This window comes from Homo sapiens, chromosome 17 (genome assembly GCF_000001405.40).
Source record: "Homo sapiens chromosome 17, GRCh38.p14 Primary Assembly".
Lineage (NCBI taxonomy): Eukaryota > Metazoa > Chordata > Mammalia > Primates > Hominidae > Homo > Homo sapiens.
The window spans coordinates 72976220-72991576 of record NC_000017.11 but is presented as its reverse complement, the minus strand read 5'-3'; the positions used below and the strand labels follow the sequence as shown (position 1 = coordinate 72991576).

At 44.1% G+C, this 15357-nt stretch overlaps 1 protein-coding gene across 35 annotated transcripts in view, besides 2 other annotated features; it reads left to right on the top strand.

Annotated features, from left to right (window-relative positions):
• SLC39A11 (solute carrier family 39 member 11) overlaps positions 1-15357 on the top strand; it is a 446740-nt gene that overhangs the window by 101112 nt on the left and 330271 nt on the right. The gene's annotated exons all lie outside the window — the stretch shown is intronic.
• Positions 5260-5309: a silencer, noted in NCBI's record as "silent region_8918". NCBI's record gives its function as "represses an Ori minimal core promoter by ATAC-STARR-seq in GM12878 lymphoblastoid cells {active_cell/tissue: GM12878}" and the evidence as "EXISTENCE:reporter gene assay evidence [ECO:0000049][PMID:35858748]".
• Positions 13173-13673: an enhancer, noted in NCBI's record as "H3K4me1 hESC enhancer chr17:70974043-70974543 (GRCh37/hg19 assembly coordinates)". NCBI's record gives its function as "activates a minimal SCP1, AML or CMV promoter by ChIP-STARR-seq in naive H9 embryonic stem cells {active_cell/tissue: H9 hESC(naive)}" and the evidence as "EXISTENCE:reporter gene assay evidence [ECO:0000049][PMID:30033119]".

The following is a 15357-nucleotide window of genomic DNA, read 5'->3' as shown; positions in this document are numbered from 1 at the left end:
GACCAGCCTGGCCAACATGGTGAAACCCCCATCTCTAATAAAAATACAAAAATTAGCCGGGTGTGGTGGCGTGGGCCTGTAATCCCAGCTATTTGAGAGGCTGAGGCAGGAGAATTGCTTCAACCCGGGAGGTGGAGGTTGTGGTGAGCCGAGATCACGCCACTGCACCCCAGTCTGGGTGACAGAGCAAGGCTCCATCTCAAAAAAAAAAAAATTAAAAAATAAATAAAAATAACAAAAGTTGCCGAATGCTACATACAGTAAAATACTATTTAACTAAAGTTTGAAATTGTATAAAATAATAGTGTGAATTTTTTGTAGACATATAAAAATATATTAGCATGGTATTAAAAGTGTAAAAATAGCGTTATAAAGCATACCCATGGAATTTTTCAGATATTGAGTACCTCTAATTGGTGCGGAGAGAGAAGAGCTGCAATTCTTTCTGTAATAGTTTACTTAAAAAATCTGAATCAAATATGGTAACAGGTTAACCTTTATTAAATCTAGATCGTTGGTACGTGGACTTACATCTTGTTATTCTCTGTACTCTTCTACATTTCTGAAAGATTGCCTTAAGAAGGAGTCTTAAAAACTATTGACTAAATGACCTCAAAGTAAAGGAAAAACGAATTGTATTTGACAGTAGATCAGCAGACTTTGTCTCATGTAATAGTCACCAAAATATTTCTTCCGTACTTTGTATAACAGTAATGGTCCCTGGTCTTGACAGTCATTAACTTAAGCAGCCTAAACTTTAGTCTCTAGGTTATATATATATACACTGTAAGATTTTAGTGTAGATGTGTGTGTGTTGGTCGGGGAGAATTATTAGAAAATCCTGATATGGGACAGGCACGGTTCTTCACGCCTGTAATCCCAGCACTTTGGGAGGCCGAGGTAGGTGAATCACTTGAGGTCAGGAGTTTGAGACCAGCCTGGCCAACATGGTGAAACCCTGTCTCTACTAAAAATACAAAAAAAATTAGCTGGACCTGGTGGCGTGCACCTGTAGCTCCAGCTCCTCGCGAGGCTGAGGGCTGAGGCAGGAGAATCGCTTGAACCTGGGAAGCCAAGGTTTCAGTGAGTCGAGATCACGCCACTACACTCCAGCCTGGGCAACAGAGGGAGACTCCATCTTGAAAAAGAGAGAGAAAAAAAATCCTGATAGGAAAAGGAAATGTGTTTCTTTAATATATCACACTATTATACTTGAACCCTTCCTGGGGGTTTTTTCCTTCTTGGTCATTTTGTATTTATTCATTTATTTTCTTCTTTCTTGGTCATTTTGTAGTGACTAGGATCAAGCTGTCTGAACCCGGCAGTCTTAGGGTTTGTAACTGGTTGGAATAATTTATTTGTAGCAGCCATCAAGGCTCTGCATCGGTTTGAATGTCAGCATTCTAACTGTAAGACCAAGCAGGACCTAAGGGTAGTGCATGTCACCAATTTTTGTTTAATTAATTTTGCAGCCTAATGCTTGCTTTTGAGATGGAATATTTTTGATGTTATGCCTTTCATGTACTAAGATGGGTAAGTCACTTACAGCATCATCTGCAAATAGTCTGATACTACGTGCAGCATTATCCATTTTTAGGCTGTGTAGTTTAGGATGACGTCTCATCGAAAGAATAAATTACTGAAATAATGAAGACAAAAGAAATTTACTGAAGAGCCTCTAACGAGAGCAGTCATTTTATCCTAGGTGACAGTTATGTCCCTAAATAAGTTTCGTAATTTCTGTATGTGAAGCCCATCACTGGAAGAGTGGTATACCAGGGCTCAAATACTGGTGGAGACTTTACGTAATGATCTGTTTCATTTTCAAGATGAGAGTTTATCACCTTCTCTTAACAAATGCAAAAATCCACATCTTGAAACAGTGGAATAAGAAAAACAGTCTTCACTCAAAGCCAGCTTGATAAACTATGGAAGGTGAGGGTGCATGACAGAATTGTCATTATAAATGAACATACTTCCCAAATACAATGATAATTTCTTGGAACGGTAGATGCCCTTTAAAAATTCTATTAGAAGGCAAAAACAGATACAAGACTAGATCATTTAAAGGTAATCTATGTCTTTAAGACATATCCTGGGATAGTATAAACAAAATGATTTGACGTAATGGAATATTTATACCCTCGCTGTTATGTTATAAGGGATGATAGTAGCTCCAAGAAATGTAAGAGAAACTTGTACTGTTATCTTGGTAAAATCATTTCATTGCAAATAAAAGGATCAAACAATTAAAGGAAGGATGATTCTAGAGTCAGGAGAACTCTGTGAAATACAGCCAAGATCTGGCTGTGCTGTGGGACTGCAGCCTCTGGCATTGAGTAAGGATGGACAATTGTTTTCTTTGTTGTTGTTGTTTTATTTTTATCTTTCTTTTTATTGTGGTGAAAGACACGTAGTAGAAAACTGACCAGCATAACCATTTTTACGTGCACAGTTCAGTAGTGTTAATAAATACGTTCACATTGTTGTGAAGCAGATTTCTAGAACTTCCTCATCTTTTTAGTAGAGATGAAGATGAGGTCTTATCGTGGTGGCCAGGCTGGTCTCGAACTCCTGACCTCAAGTGATGTGCCCTCCTCGGCTTCCCAAAGTGCTCGGATGACAGGCGTGAGCCACCATGCTCTGCCTGCATATTGTAATCTTAAAAAGAGCAAACCTGTCTCTACTAAAAATACAAAAATTAGCTGGGCGTGGTGGCTCACGCCTGTAATCCCAGCTACTCAGTAGGCTGAGGTGGGAGGATCACTTGAACCTGGGAGGCGGAGGTTGCAGTGATCCGAGATCATGCCGCTGCACTCCAGACTGGGCAACAGAGTGAGACTCCATCTCAAAAATAAAAATAAATAAATAAATAAATAAGTAAGTAACACAATTCATAGAAACAGAAAGTAGAACTGCGGTTGCCAAGGGCTAGGGGCACTGAGAAAAGGGGAGTTGTTGTTTAAAAGGTACCGAGTTTCAGATTTGCAACATGAAAAAGTAAAAAAAAAAGTGGAATAAGAATGAGTAAGACCTACTATTTGATAGCACAGTAGGGTGACTAGAGTCAGTAATAACTTAATTGTACATTTGTTTTGTTTTGTTTTGTTTTGTTTGAGACAAGTTCTCGCTCTGTCACCTAGACTGGAGTGCAGTGGTGTGATCTTGTCTGACTGCAGCCTCTGCCTCTCAGGTTCAAGCAATTCTCATGCCTCAGCCTCCAAAGTAGCTGGGATTGCAGGCATGTACCACCGCACCCGGCCAATTTGTGTGTGTGTGTGTTTTTAGCAGAGACGGGATTTCACCATGTTGGCCGGACTGGTTTTGAACTCCTGGCCTCAGGTGATCTTCCCGCCTTGGCCCCCCAAAGTGTTGGGATTACAGGCGTGAGCCACTGTGCCCAGCCTAATTGTACACTTTAAAATAAAGAGTGTAATTGGATTGTTTGTAATTCAAAGGGTAAAAGCTTGAGGGGATGGATGTCGCATTCTCCATGATGTGCTTATTTCACACTGCATGGCTGTGTCAAAACATCTCATGGACCCCATAAATATACACACCTATGTACTCACAAAAATAATAAAAAAGAGAGCTGACTTTTACGTGGCTCTCTTTTCTGGTTTATAGATGCTCTTTTTAAACCATTCATGCCAAGAGTAATAATGGAAAGTAGGCTTTGCTCTTTTACGATTCAGGACGAGAACATGGGAAGAAGTAGCCCCCACCGGCTGTTTGTTTTTTTAAGTGGTGTCATTTTTGGATGGGTGAGTGGATGAGGGAGATTGTTCCCAAAACAACCGTTGGGGCTTCACCTTTCTCTGTAAGTGTCATGAAGTTTTGGAGTGGAGAAAGACTTGGTGTGGAAGAGGAAGGGGTATTCTGATTCAGGACTTTGTCTTTAGGCAAGGAAAAAAACATTTCTTATTTTCCAGAGATTGCTAAAGAATTCTAGTGCAAGCCATCTGTTCCCCTAATAGCCCATTCAGTCCCCTTTTTGGGGAATGGGGAGCATATTTTAACATTTCTGAATTTGCCATGGGAGTGTCAGGGTACCTCTTACTGATTTCTTTAGTAGATTGTGGGATTAATTGTTCATTCCATCTTATTTCTGTCACAAATCCAGGAACTGTATGCTAAGTGCCCCATTCACTCAAACTGGATACACTTTACACAAGTACATTTGGTGATTACCTAATAAGAGACAAACTTCAGGTCCTTGTGGAGTGTCTTAGTCCATTAAGTGTTGCCATAAAGGAATACCTGAGGCTGGGTAATTTACAGACAATAGGTTTATTTGGCTCTCAGTTCTGCAGACTGTATAAGAAGCATAGTGCCAGCATCTGCTTCTGGGGAGGGCCTCAAGAAGCTTCCAATCATGGCAGATGGTGAAGGGGGAACAGATGTGTGACGTGACAAGCGAAGGAGCAAAAGAACTAGCAGGATCTTTCAAACAACCAGTGCTCTCCTGAACCAACAGAGTGAGAACTCGCACATTACTGTGGGGAGGGCAACAAACCATTCATGAGGGATCTGCTCCCGTGACCCAAACCCCTCCTACCAGGCCCTCCTCCAGCACTGGGGCTCACATTTCAACATGAGATTTGGAGGGAACACACATCCATACTATGTCAGAGCTTTGTGGTTTATTGGACAATACCCTGTGCTTTTATTCTTTCCCTTCTGGTATAAAAAACTAGTCATTGTAGTTGAAGACAGTAACCAGTTCATCCCTCATGTTGGCGAGGCTGGTCTTGAACTCCTGACCTCAAGTAATCTGCCTGCCTCAGCCTCCCAAAGTGCTTGGATTACAGGCATGAGCCACCATGCCCGGCCTGTGATTATGTCTTATATCCAATCTACAAGTGCTTCTCACACCTGAATGTGTGCACGGTTCACCCCGGGAGCCTGTTAAAATGCAGATGATGATTTGGCAGGTCTGGGTTGGGGCCCAAGACTGTATGTGTCTCCCAAGCTGTCAAGGTGGCTGATGCTCCTGATCCATGGAGCCCCCTCGGGCTAGCTGGGGGTGGAGGGTGCAGCAGTGTGGCAGTAATGGGACCTCACAGTTGGAAGGGTCCTTGGAGGGTCTGTGGGCCAGTGCCTGGCAGGTGGCGCGTCACACTCGACTTTCTGATGTTCTGATTTAGGAGGCTTTGGGTGGAGCTTAGACGTCTGTATTTCTAAAAAGCTTCACCGGGGCTTTGTCTGCATGGCCAGGCTTGGCAACCACCAGTTTGTCCAGCTCCCCAGCCGTGGTTTGCATCACCTCAACATCTCCCCCTAGTGGTTGTGTTGTGACTAGGGTGTCCTGGCTTTCAAAGCTAGCTCCACAGCCGTCAGGCTTCTGGGGGACCCTGGAGTCTTACTGGGGAGTGAACTGGTTTCCTAGGGCTGTGGGAACAATATATCACAATTTGAATAGCTTAAACAACAGACATTTATTGTCTCAGTTCTAGAGGCTAGAACTTTCTGGAAAGTAGTTCTAAGATTCTGACCTCAAGATGTCAGCAGGGCCATGTGCCTCCTCAAGGCTCCAGGGAAGGATGAGCTCCAAGCCCCTCTCCTAGCTTTTGGTGGTTCCTTGGCTTCTAGTAGCATAACTCCAGTCTTCCCGTAGTATTTTCCTTGTGTGCCTGTCTCTGTGTCCAAATTTCTCCTTTTTATAAGGAAAAAATCATATTGAATTGGGACCTGCCCTAATGACCTTATCTTACCTCGATCATTTACAAAGACCCTGTTTGCAAAAAAGGTCACATTTATAGACAACATCTTTTGCAGGAATGCAGTTCAACCCATCACAGGGAGATAGGGCATCGATTGCAGGAAGATTAATAAATAAAAGACAGTAATAAAAAGTTAGGCCTGGCCAGATGCGGTGGCTCATGCCTGTAATCCCAGCACTTTGGGAGTTTGAGGTGGGTGGATCACCTGAGGTCAGGAGTTCGAGACCAGCCTGGCCAACATGGCGAAACCCTGTCTCTCCTAAAAATACCAAAATTAGCTCGGTGTTGTGGTGCATGCCTGTAGTCCCAGCTACTCGGGAGGCTGAGGCAGGAGAATTGCTTGAACCTGGGAGGTGGAGGTTGCAGTGAGCCGAGATGGCGCCCCTGCACTCCAGCCTAGGTGAGAGAGTGAGACTCTGTCTCAAAAAAAAAAAAAAAAAAAAAAAGGCAGGCCCCATGCAAATAAAGAAGGTTTGCATGGAAATGAATGTCACAAGTGGGTAATACCTGATAGGGTCAGATATAGCTGGCTAGTCCCGTCAGCAAAGTTGTGGGCAAAAATTCAGAGAGCGACTCTGTGACATGTTCCTCCTTCTGTGGGCGCTGTCTGCGTGGCCCTCACTCAGCTAGCTCTTTCTGTCCTTTCCCCCCTGTATGTCCCTCCCAGGCCACTTAAGCATGAGCAGATCATTGCCTTGTACCTGGTGCCTTGTGGAGTGGCGTCAGCCACGTGGAGTGTGCACATTCCTAGGGAGGTGTGGCCCCAGACAACTTACTGTGTTTGCCCTGCCTCTAGCCCGGCTGGGCCTCCTAGTGTGCTCTGATGAACTAATCAATGCAGGTTGGATTTTTGGAGGGGAGAATTCTTTGTTCCTAACCAGAGAAAATTGATTCCATAAGAGGGTTATTGCTGCTGTGTGCAATTCTCTAGAGTTATTGGATTGCAGAATCATTAGCTTTAGAAGTAAATGAAATAGATTTGGGATATTGTTATGTTTCAGATAAACAAATGGCCTTCCTCCTTATTCATTTAACATTCTGCTTCCAGAAGGAAATGTCAGATGACTCAGAGCCTGATAAAATACTTTGTGGCACACAGGAATGGTAACCAGATGCGGTGAGACTTCACCTTTCTCAGCCCCTGTAAAAGGCGTTGCTTCACTGCGGTGATTCTCACATTTGAGAGTGCATGAGAATCCCCTGGAGGTCTTGCGGAAACACGGGTTGCTGGGCCCACCAGAGGCCTGGAATGGGGCCTGATAACTTGCCTTGCTAACAAGTTCCTGGGTGTTGCTGATGCTGCTGGCCTTGGGGACCCCACTTTGAGAACAGCTGCTTTGCTGAATAAAACTCGAACTCCTGGGAAGCCTGTGGATTCAGTGTGCCTGGGCTTTACATGTATCCCACAACACCCAAGGGAAAGGAATCTTATTTCTTGAATTTTCTTTTTCTTTTCTTTCTTTTTTTTTTTTTTTAAATGTCTGAGTTCCAATAAAGCTTTATTTACAAAAACAGACTGTGGGCCGGGTTTGACCAAGCCCCTTCAGGTCTCATGGCTACTTCTGTGCCCATCCTGGGGTGGCTGAGTTTGTTCTGCCCATGCTCTGTGCAATGCAATGCTACAAGCAGCTTTCAAGGCCGTTCTGCTTCATGGGGGAAGAACAGGGGCAAGAGCTGGGTTTTTTTGCTGCTGATAGTGGCAATTCGATGGGCCTGCCTCCTGTTTCTCTATTTCAATGTGGCTCTGAGGCTCCCAGAATCACTCCACGATTCCAGCCCCACTCTGAGCCATGAGAAACCTGAGGCTACCCAGGTCCTCTCTGCCTGGTTACCCCTCTGCTGGCACTTCTCTGGAGCTTGCCACCCCCCTGAACAGCACTCAGGAAAGGGGTCTAGAGGGCCCCTGCTCTTAGATTCCCAAATCCATCTGGGGATTTCACAGATCCCCACTTCCCTTGGAGCCTTGCCCAGATGGTGAGGGCAGATCCCAGGGTTCCCTTTTCCTTAGTAACTCACCAGCTCTCAGCAACCCCTCTTTTCTTCCGACTTCGTTCTCACCGTTGGGCATCTTTATGGAGTCTGGGTGAAGAGCCTGGCTCTGATTTGAAAGAGAAAATTGCCCACAGCCCATCACTCAAAAGGTACAAAGGGATCTGTGGTGAAAAGTCTTTCTCTCACCTCTGTCTTCTGGTTACTTATTTTATTTCCTCAGAGGTGACCACTTGTAACCAGGTTGTTTTCTGTATTTTTCCAGAGGTGCTTTCTGTCTCCCTAAGCATGTAAGTGTAGATATATTAGTCTGTTCCATAGCCTGATTTCACCACATCTTGGACAGAGGAGTTCCATCTTAGCACATCCATATATGTTGCTTTATTTAAAAACAAAAGCAAACAACAACAACAACAGGCTGGGCACAGTGGCTCATACCTGTAATCCCAGCACTTCGGGAGGCCGAGGCAGGTGGTTCACTTGAGGTCAGGAGCTTGAGACCAGCCTGGCCAACATGGTGAAACCTCGTCTCTACTAAAAATACAAAATTAGCTGGTTGTGGTGGCGCTTGCCTGTAATCCCAGCTCCTCAGGAGGCTGAGACAGGAGAATCGCTTGAACCTGGGAGGTGGAGGCTGCAGTGAGCTGAGATCGCGGCACTGCACCCCAGCCTGGGCTACAGAGTGAGACTTGGTCTCAAAAAAAAAAACAAAAACAAATAAACAAACAAAAAACAACAACAAAAAACACCCTGGGTACTATTCCATCAAATGAAGGTACTGTGAGTTATCTAATCAGTTCCCTGTTGAGGGGCATTTTGATTGTTTCATGTCCTTTACTCTTAGGAACAGTGATGCAGTGAATATCCTGGTGGATATTTAATAGACGTTCTCTGAGTTGACCTTGCCTGGATGGAGATGCATGGATAATAGACACTCTGTGTTTCTGCTGCCCATTATACTCCAAACACTTGCAGCCCTGTCGTCAGTGCAACCTGAGTCAGTTGTTCATTAATCCAACTATTTATTTTAGCTGCACTTGCTGCCATCATTTGATTTCATCAAATGTTATGTAATTTTAATGAAAGTTCAGATTTGAAGAGATTTGCTAACATTGAATCACCAAATTTCTGTCAAATAAGGCATAGTAGAGACAGCTGTTAAAAAAAAAAAAGACTTGGCAACGAATTAGAAAAATGGAGATTCTATTTCCAGATTTCTCCCCAGGTGTCTTTAAGTCTTTCCACCACTTTAAAGAAACAAAATCTGAAGATTGTAAATGAAGTATTACGAACAAGGTTTTTGCAAAATAGACGAAACAGAACTTTTATCAGTTGACCGATATGGACGAAAGAGGCCTCTGATTTACATCATAAGATTTGCAAGTGAATGCACATTTATTTGCTTGAAATTAAAATTACTTTTGGGGGGAGATTCTTCCCATTTTCCATGTTTAAAATTAACCTATTAATGACCAGTTTGGACCACATCAGATAGAAAGTAGCTACCGTCTGTATTTGAGTCCATGTGAACATATCTATAAAACTAAGTTTCTGAAAGTGGGATTATACAGTGGATATTTGTGAATTTTCCCTTTTACAGAAATTCTCAAGTTGCCCTTCCTTGAGCTTATACTGATTTATACTTTTACCAGCAATGTTTGAGAATGTCTTTATCCATACCCCATCCCTATAGGGTTTTAGTAAAATTTTTGATTTTTTGTTAATAGGAATAGGTAAAAAATGGTATTTCATGGAGTCTTCTTTGTTTAAAAAAAAAAAAAAATTTTAGAGATGGAGTCTCACCATGCTGCCCAGGCTGGTCTCAAACTCCTGGCCTCAAGCAATCCTCTTGCCTTGGCCTCCCAAGTGGCTGGGATTACAGATGTGTGCCACTGCTCCGGCCTACAGCTTTGTCTTATTAGTCAGCTTAGCATCTTTCCACGTGTTTCAAAGCTGTTTGTATTTCCCTTTCTGTGAAGTGTCTGTGTCTTTCTCTTACTTTTCTGTTCCATGGTTGGTCTTTCCTAACTCATTATTTTGGAGCTCCTTGTGTATTCAGAAAATTATCTGCAATATTATTATAATTCTTTTCTCAGTTGGTCACTTGTGAGTCTGTTTATGGTGCTTCCAACCATGTAGATTTTTATTTAATTTGTACCTCTTTGAACTTAGTCTTTTTTGATTCATACTTAGTAAAGTCTTCCTCATTCCAAGAGGATTAAAAATACCTATTTTTTTTCTACAACTTGGTTTCCTTTTTTTTTTTTTTTGCATTTAAATATTTAATTCATCCAGAATCTATTTTGGTATACAAAGTGAGATAGGGATTAAAATAATCTATTTTGGTATAAAAAGTGAGATAGAGATTAAAATGTATGTATTTCCAGATGGCTCTCAGAAGTCTTGATACCATTTGTTGAATAATCCATCTTTTCTCCGTTAATGTAAATGCCAGCTATAAAATTTACTAAATCAGAAGATGTATTTACGTATTTGCTTCTGGATTTTTGTAGTCCTAAGGTGAATAATAAACTAGCCATTTAGCCAGCCATATGTGTGTATTGAGTGCTTGAAGTGTGACTAGTCCAGATTGAGATGGGCTATAAATAAAAAATACACAGTGGATTTTGAAGACTTACTAAAAATATATATGTATAAAATATCTCATTACCAATTTTTATATTGCTTACCTTATTGAAGTGAAACTATTTTGGATATATTTGGATAAAATAAAATATGTTATTACAATTAATTTCACCTGTTTCCTTCCCCTTGGTGATTGTGCCTACCAGAAAATTTAATGTTATATTTGTAGCTCACATTCTATTTTTTTTTTTTTTTTGAGATGGAGTCTCCCTCTGTCACCCAGGCTGGAATGCAGTGGCATGATCTCAGCTCACTATAACCTCTGCCTTCTAGGTTCAAGTAATTCTCTGCCTCAGCCTCCATAGTGGCTGGGATTATAGGCACCCACCATCATGCCTGGCTAATTTTTGTATTTTTAGTAGAGACGGGGTTTCACCATCTTGGCCAGGCTGGTCTCAAACTCCTGACCTCTTTGATCCACCCGCCTCAGCCTCCCAAAGTGTCGGGATTACAGGCATGAGCCACCGTGCCCAGCCTCACATTCTATTTTTATTATATGGTGCCGCTTTAATCTTTTCAGCTCTGCCTCTTCAGGTACTATTCTGTTTCAGTTGCTGCAACTTCACGTCTTATCATCTATTCGTCTTCTGTATTACTTGTATTACGTTCCTTTTCAAAAGTTTCTTGGTTATTCTTACAGCATATTTTCCCATGTGAACTTTAGCATCAGCTTGCGAATTTCAAGAACATCGTCTAGGTATTTTTTTTTACAAGCTTTGTTTCAAATTTCTACATTAACGTAGGCAGAAATGACAGGTTTATGACGATGAGCGTTTCTGCCTAAGAACAAAGCTCACCACTCCATCTATCCAGGCTACTCATCGCGTCTCCCAGTAGCATTTTAAGTTTTCTTCATAAGGACTTTTCATGTTTAGGGTTGAATGTATTCCTGGGTATTTCATTTCCTTTTATGAGTATTACAGACGGGGTCTCCTATTTCATGACATATTCCATCTGGCCGTTGTTTTTGCATAGAAAAGCTATTGATTTTGTCTTGAGCCACCACTAATTTTGTCTTGAGCCACCAAACAAAATACCTTTTTTTGTTAATAATCGTTCTTTAGATGATTCTTTGAGATTTGTACATGTACAGTAATATCTTCATAAATAAGCACCTGGGTCCCGCTATTGTTGGTGGGAGTTATAGATGCAAATAGGATGTCATGGTCTTAACAGAGCAGGGTGGCTGGGGACAGGAAGGGTGGCTGTCCCAGCTGGAGAGCTGGTGTAGGAATCAGTGGATCCAGCAGCAAGTCGTGGGAGAAGGATGCACCATTTTGGGGAGGTCATGGGAAGTGGGTGTGCTGCTTTGGGGAGCAAGTCATGGGAGGGGTGCTTGCCGCTTTGGGGAGCAGGTTATGGGAGGAGGGCATGCTGCTTTGCCTCCATCTACCTTGGGCAGTAGCATAGGTTTGAGACTCTGCCAGCTGCATCATCTGAGGTCTTGGTTTTCCAGCATGCTACCTGTTATAGGCAAGATTTGTTTTGGGGTCCTGTGTTGGAGGGAGGTGGGTTAGTGTGAGCTCTGCAGAGCAGCCTCCTTGCAGCTCAGCTGGGTAGGGACAAGGCAGGGGCCTGAACTGGCTCGATTTTCTGTGGCGCTTCACACATCAGGACCCAAATTTTCCCTTTTCTAGAAATTCTCAAGTTGCCCTCTCCTGAGCTTGTACTGATTTACACTTTCACCAGTAATGTTTGGGAATGTCTCTATCCGTCCCTCATCCCATTGCCTGCTCTGCTTCTCAAGACAGGTGAAGACAGACAGTATTTCCATGGATCAGATGTGCTCTCGGAGTCCAGGTTCCTCTCAGCATAACTGGAGTGAGAATTATCTGTCTCACTTACATAGCCCCTGTATTAGTCTGTTTTCAGACCATTATAAAGAACTGCCCAAGACTGGGTAATTTATAAAGGAAGGAGGTTTAATTGACTCACAGTTCTGCGTGGCTGGGGAGCCCTCAGGAAAGTTACAATAATGGCGGAAGGTGAAGGGGAAAAAGTAGCTTCTTCACAAGGCGGCAGGAAGGAGAAGTGGCAAGCGAAGGGGGAGGAGCCCCTTATAAAACCATCAGATCTCGTGAGAACTCACTCACTATCACGAGAACAGCATGGGGGAAACTGCCCCCATGATTCAGTTGCCTCCGCGTGGTCTCTCCCTTGACACGTGGTGATTATGGGGTTTACAATTCAAGATGAGATTTGGGTGGAGACACAAAACCTAACCATGTCAGCCCCAGAGCAAGGGCCTTCTTTTTTATCTTTGTAAAATTATGTTTCTGGCTAGTCAGTCACCTCATTGAAAGCAAGACCCAGACCTCATCCTTCTTTGTATCCCAGGGCTGAAGGCAGGGCCTTACCAGAGTTGGCGTGCCCTAAGTGTTCAATGATAACAGAGATGATTTGTTGTTTCCTTTCGTTCTCATGAACAAGTGCTGTTGGCACCTTTCCAAAAAGGTCTTGTGGACCCATCCTGTCCACTCCTTTCCACCCCAGCCTAAGGCATTACTGTCTCTGTCCCAGAACCTGGCCTCCTGACTGGTCCCCCTTACTCCCTCACCTCCACTTCCATGCTCCCCACAGTCTCCCCACCCCCTTCTTAGAAGCTCCCCAAGCCCTGTCCCACCTCCCGGCCTTTGCATCTGCTATTCCTTTTCTCTGAAACAGAGTTCCCGAAGCTCTGTGCGTGGCTGCCTCAGTGCAAATGTCTCCTCCCAAGCTCCTCCCTGACCCCCCACAATGTGCGTGGCTTTCTCTGTTTATTTCCTTCCTAGAACTTGTCAGCAACCTTCCTTATCCAGTTTGTTCGTTTGTATATTTTTTACTTCTTTATCATCGGTTTCCCCACCACAATGTAGGCTCCTTGAGGACAGGGACTTTGTTAGGCTTGTTCTTGGCCGTGTCGCCAACACCAGCACAGTGACTCACAGGGAACAATGCTCGGTAAATATCTGATGAAGGGAGGGAGGGAGCAAGGGAGGAAAGAAGGGAAAGAGGAAGGAAGGAAGGAAGAGGAAGAGGAAGGCAGGGAACGCCTAAGGGCAGGGAAGAGGGCTGTGGTTTGGGGTTTACAAATGGGGCCCAGACGACAGCCCAGATTCTCACTAGAACCTCCCCGTACTTCCCCTGCGTTCGCAGGCTGGAGGACGGCCTGGAAGATTCTCAACGACCACCCTGGCTAGGAATCCAATGATAGAGAAGCTTGCTCGGAGACTGACATTTTGCTGGTTTTTCTCTGGTGACCCGGTGACTCACTGCTGGTTGCTATTCCTGTGGCTTTGTGGGTGGGAGAGGCTCCTGGGAACAGGTGCCGATGCAGTCGGTCTCCTGGGCACCTTCGCTCTCCCAGGCAGCTGGTGGCTGGCCGTGCTCTCCAGGCCACCTCGGTACTTTACTGCTTTATTGAATAGGAAGCATTCATTCACTTTGGGAGCCGTTACCCTTTGGATAATATCACTACCGTTTCCCCAAACTCATTGTTGCTGTGTGGGGGTGTTTCTGTTCCAGCCCTTTGTTTGTGTGTTTTATGGAAGGTGCTAGCACTTCATGGTTCTTTCCCACATGTCCCTAGTCCCTCTCTCTGCTCTTTGCTCTTTCACTTTCTCTGATGCTTTTTCAGGTGGTTCATCTAAACTTGTCCCTGGTGTATCTCACCAGGGGTGGGGGTGTTCTCCCCTTGCCTCTGATATCCAAGACAGGTTTTATCTGCATGAACTAGGGCCTGGGGACACGCTCCTTTTCCTGCCCTGGTATTTTAGTTTTCTCTTGCTGTGTACAAATGATTATAAGTCTAACAGCTTTAAACAGCACCCTTTGTTAGCTCAAAACTCCATAGGTCAGAGGGTTGGGAGCACGTGGGTGGGTCAGCCGGTCGTGTTCTCATCTGGATTTCGGAGTCCCTTCCAAGCTCCTGTCTGCTGGCAGGATACAGCAGGGCTGCGGGAGTGAGGCCCCATGTCCTTTCTGGCTATTAGCCAGGGCCTCTCTCCACTCCTTGGGGCCGTCCACATTCCTTCCCATGTGGCTCCCTGCTTCTTCAGCCAGTCATGGCTCAGGCACTTTCTCACTTTCGAATCTCTCTGACTTCCCTTTCTGCCTTCACTGGACACAGCTTTCTGCTTTTCAGGGCTCCTGGGACTAGGTCAGGCCCAACCGGGTAATCTTATCCTAACGCAAGCTGTGACTCACAACACACCACAGCATGGTACTGATGGCGTGTCATAGTCATAGGTCCTGGGGATAAGGGCAAAACATCTTTGGGGGCACCATGTTAGAAATTCCCACCACTCCTGTCCCTTTGTAACATTGGTTACAATATATAATCCTGAGACCTAACAGAGACATTTCTTTTTTTCTTTTTTCTTTTTTTTTTTGAGACGGAGTCTTGCTCTGTTGCCAGGCTGGAGTGCAATGGCACGATCTCAGCTCACTCCAACCTCTGCCTCCCGGGTTCAAGTGATTCTCCTGCCTCAGCCTCCCGAGGAGCTGGGATTATAGGCACGTGCCACCATGCCAGGCTAATTTTTGTATTTTTAGTAGAGATTGGGGTTTCACCATGTTGGCCTGGATGGTCTCGATCTCCTGACCTCGTGATCCGCCTGCCTTGGCCTCCCAAAGTGTTGGGATTACAGGCGTGAGCCACCGCGCCCGGCCAACAGAGACATTTCTGTGCCTTTCTGCAAATGAGGATTTTCCCCCTCGGTGTCATTTTCCCAGCAGTGGTTGTTGCCCATTGATGATTCATACTTTCTCTAACATTTCAGTTATCACTCTTTTTCTTTTTAAGTGGAAAATTGGAATGGAGGGTGAGTGTGAGACCTAGGGACTGAGTTGTTGTTTGCCATGTCTTTATCCTTTTGTTCATTTATTAAAGAGGTGTGATCTTAAAGTGGTAGTTCTCAAAGTGTGTTTGGGGGACTGCCTAGAGTTTCCTCAAGATCCTTTCAAGGGAGCTGAGAGGTTAAAATAATAATAATAATTTAAAAATTCAAATATTAATTTT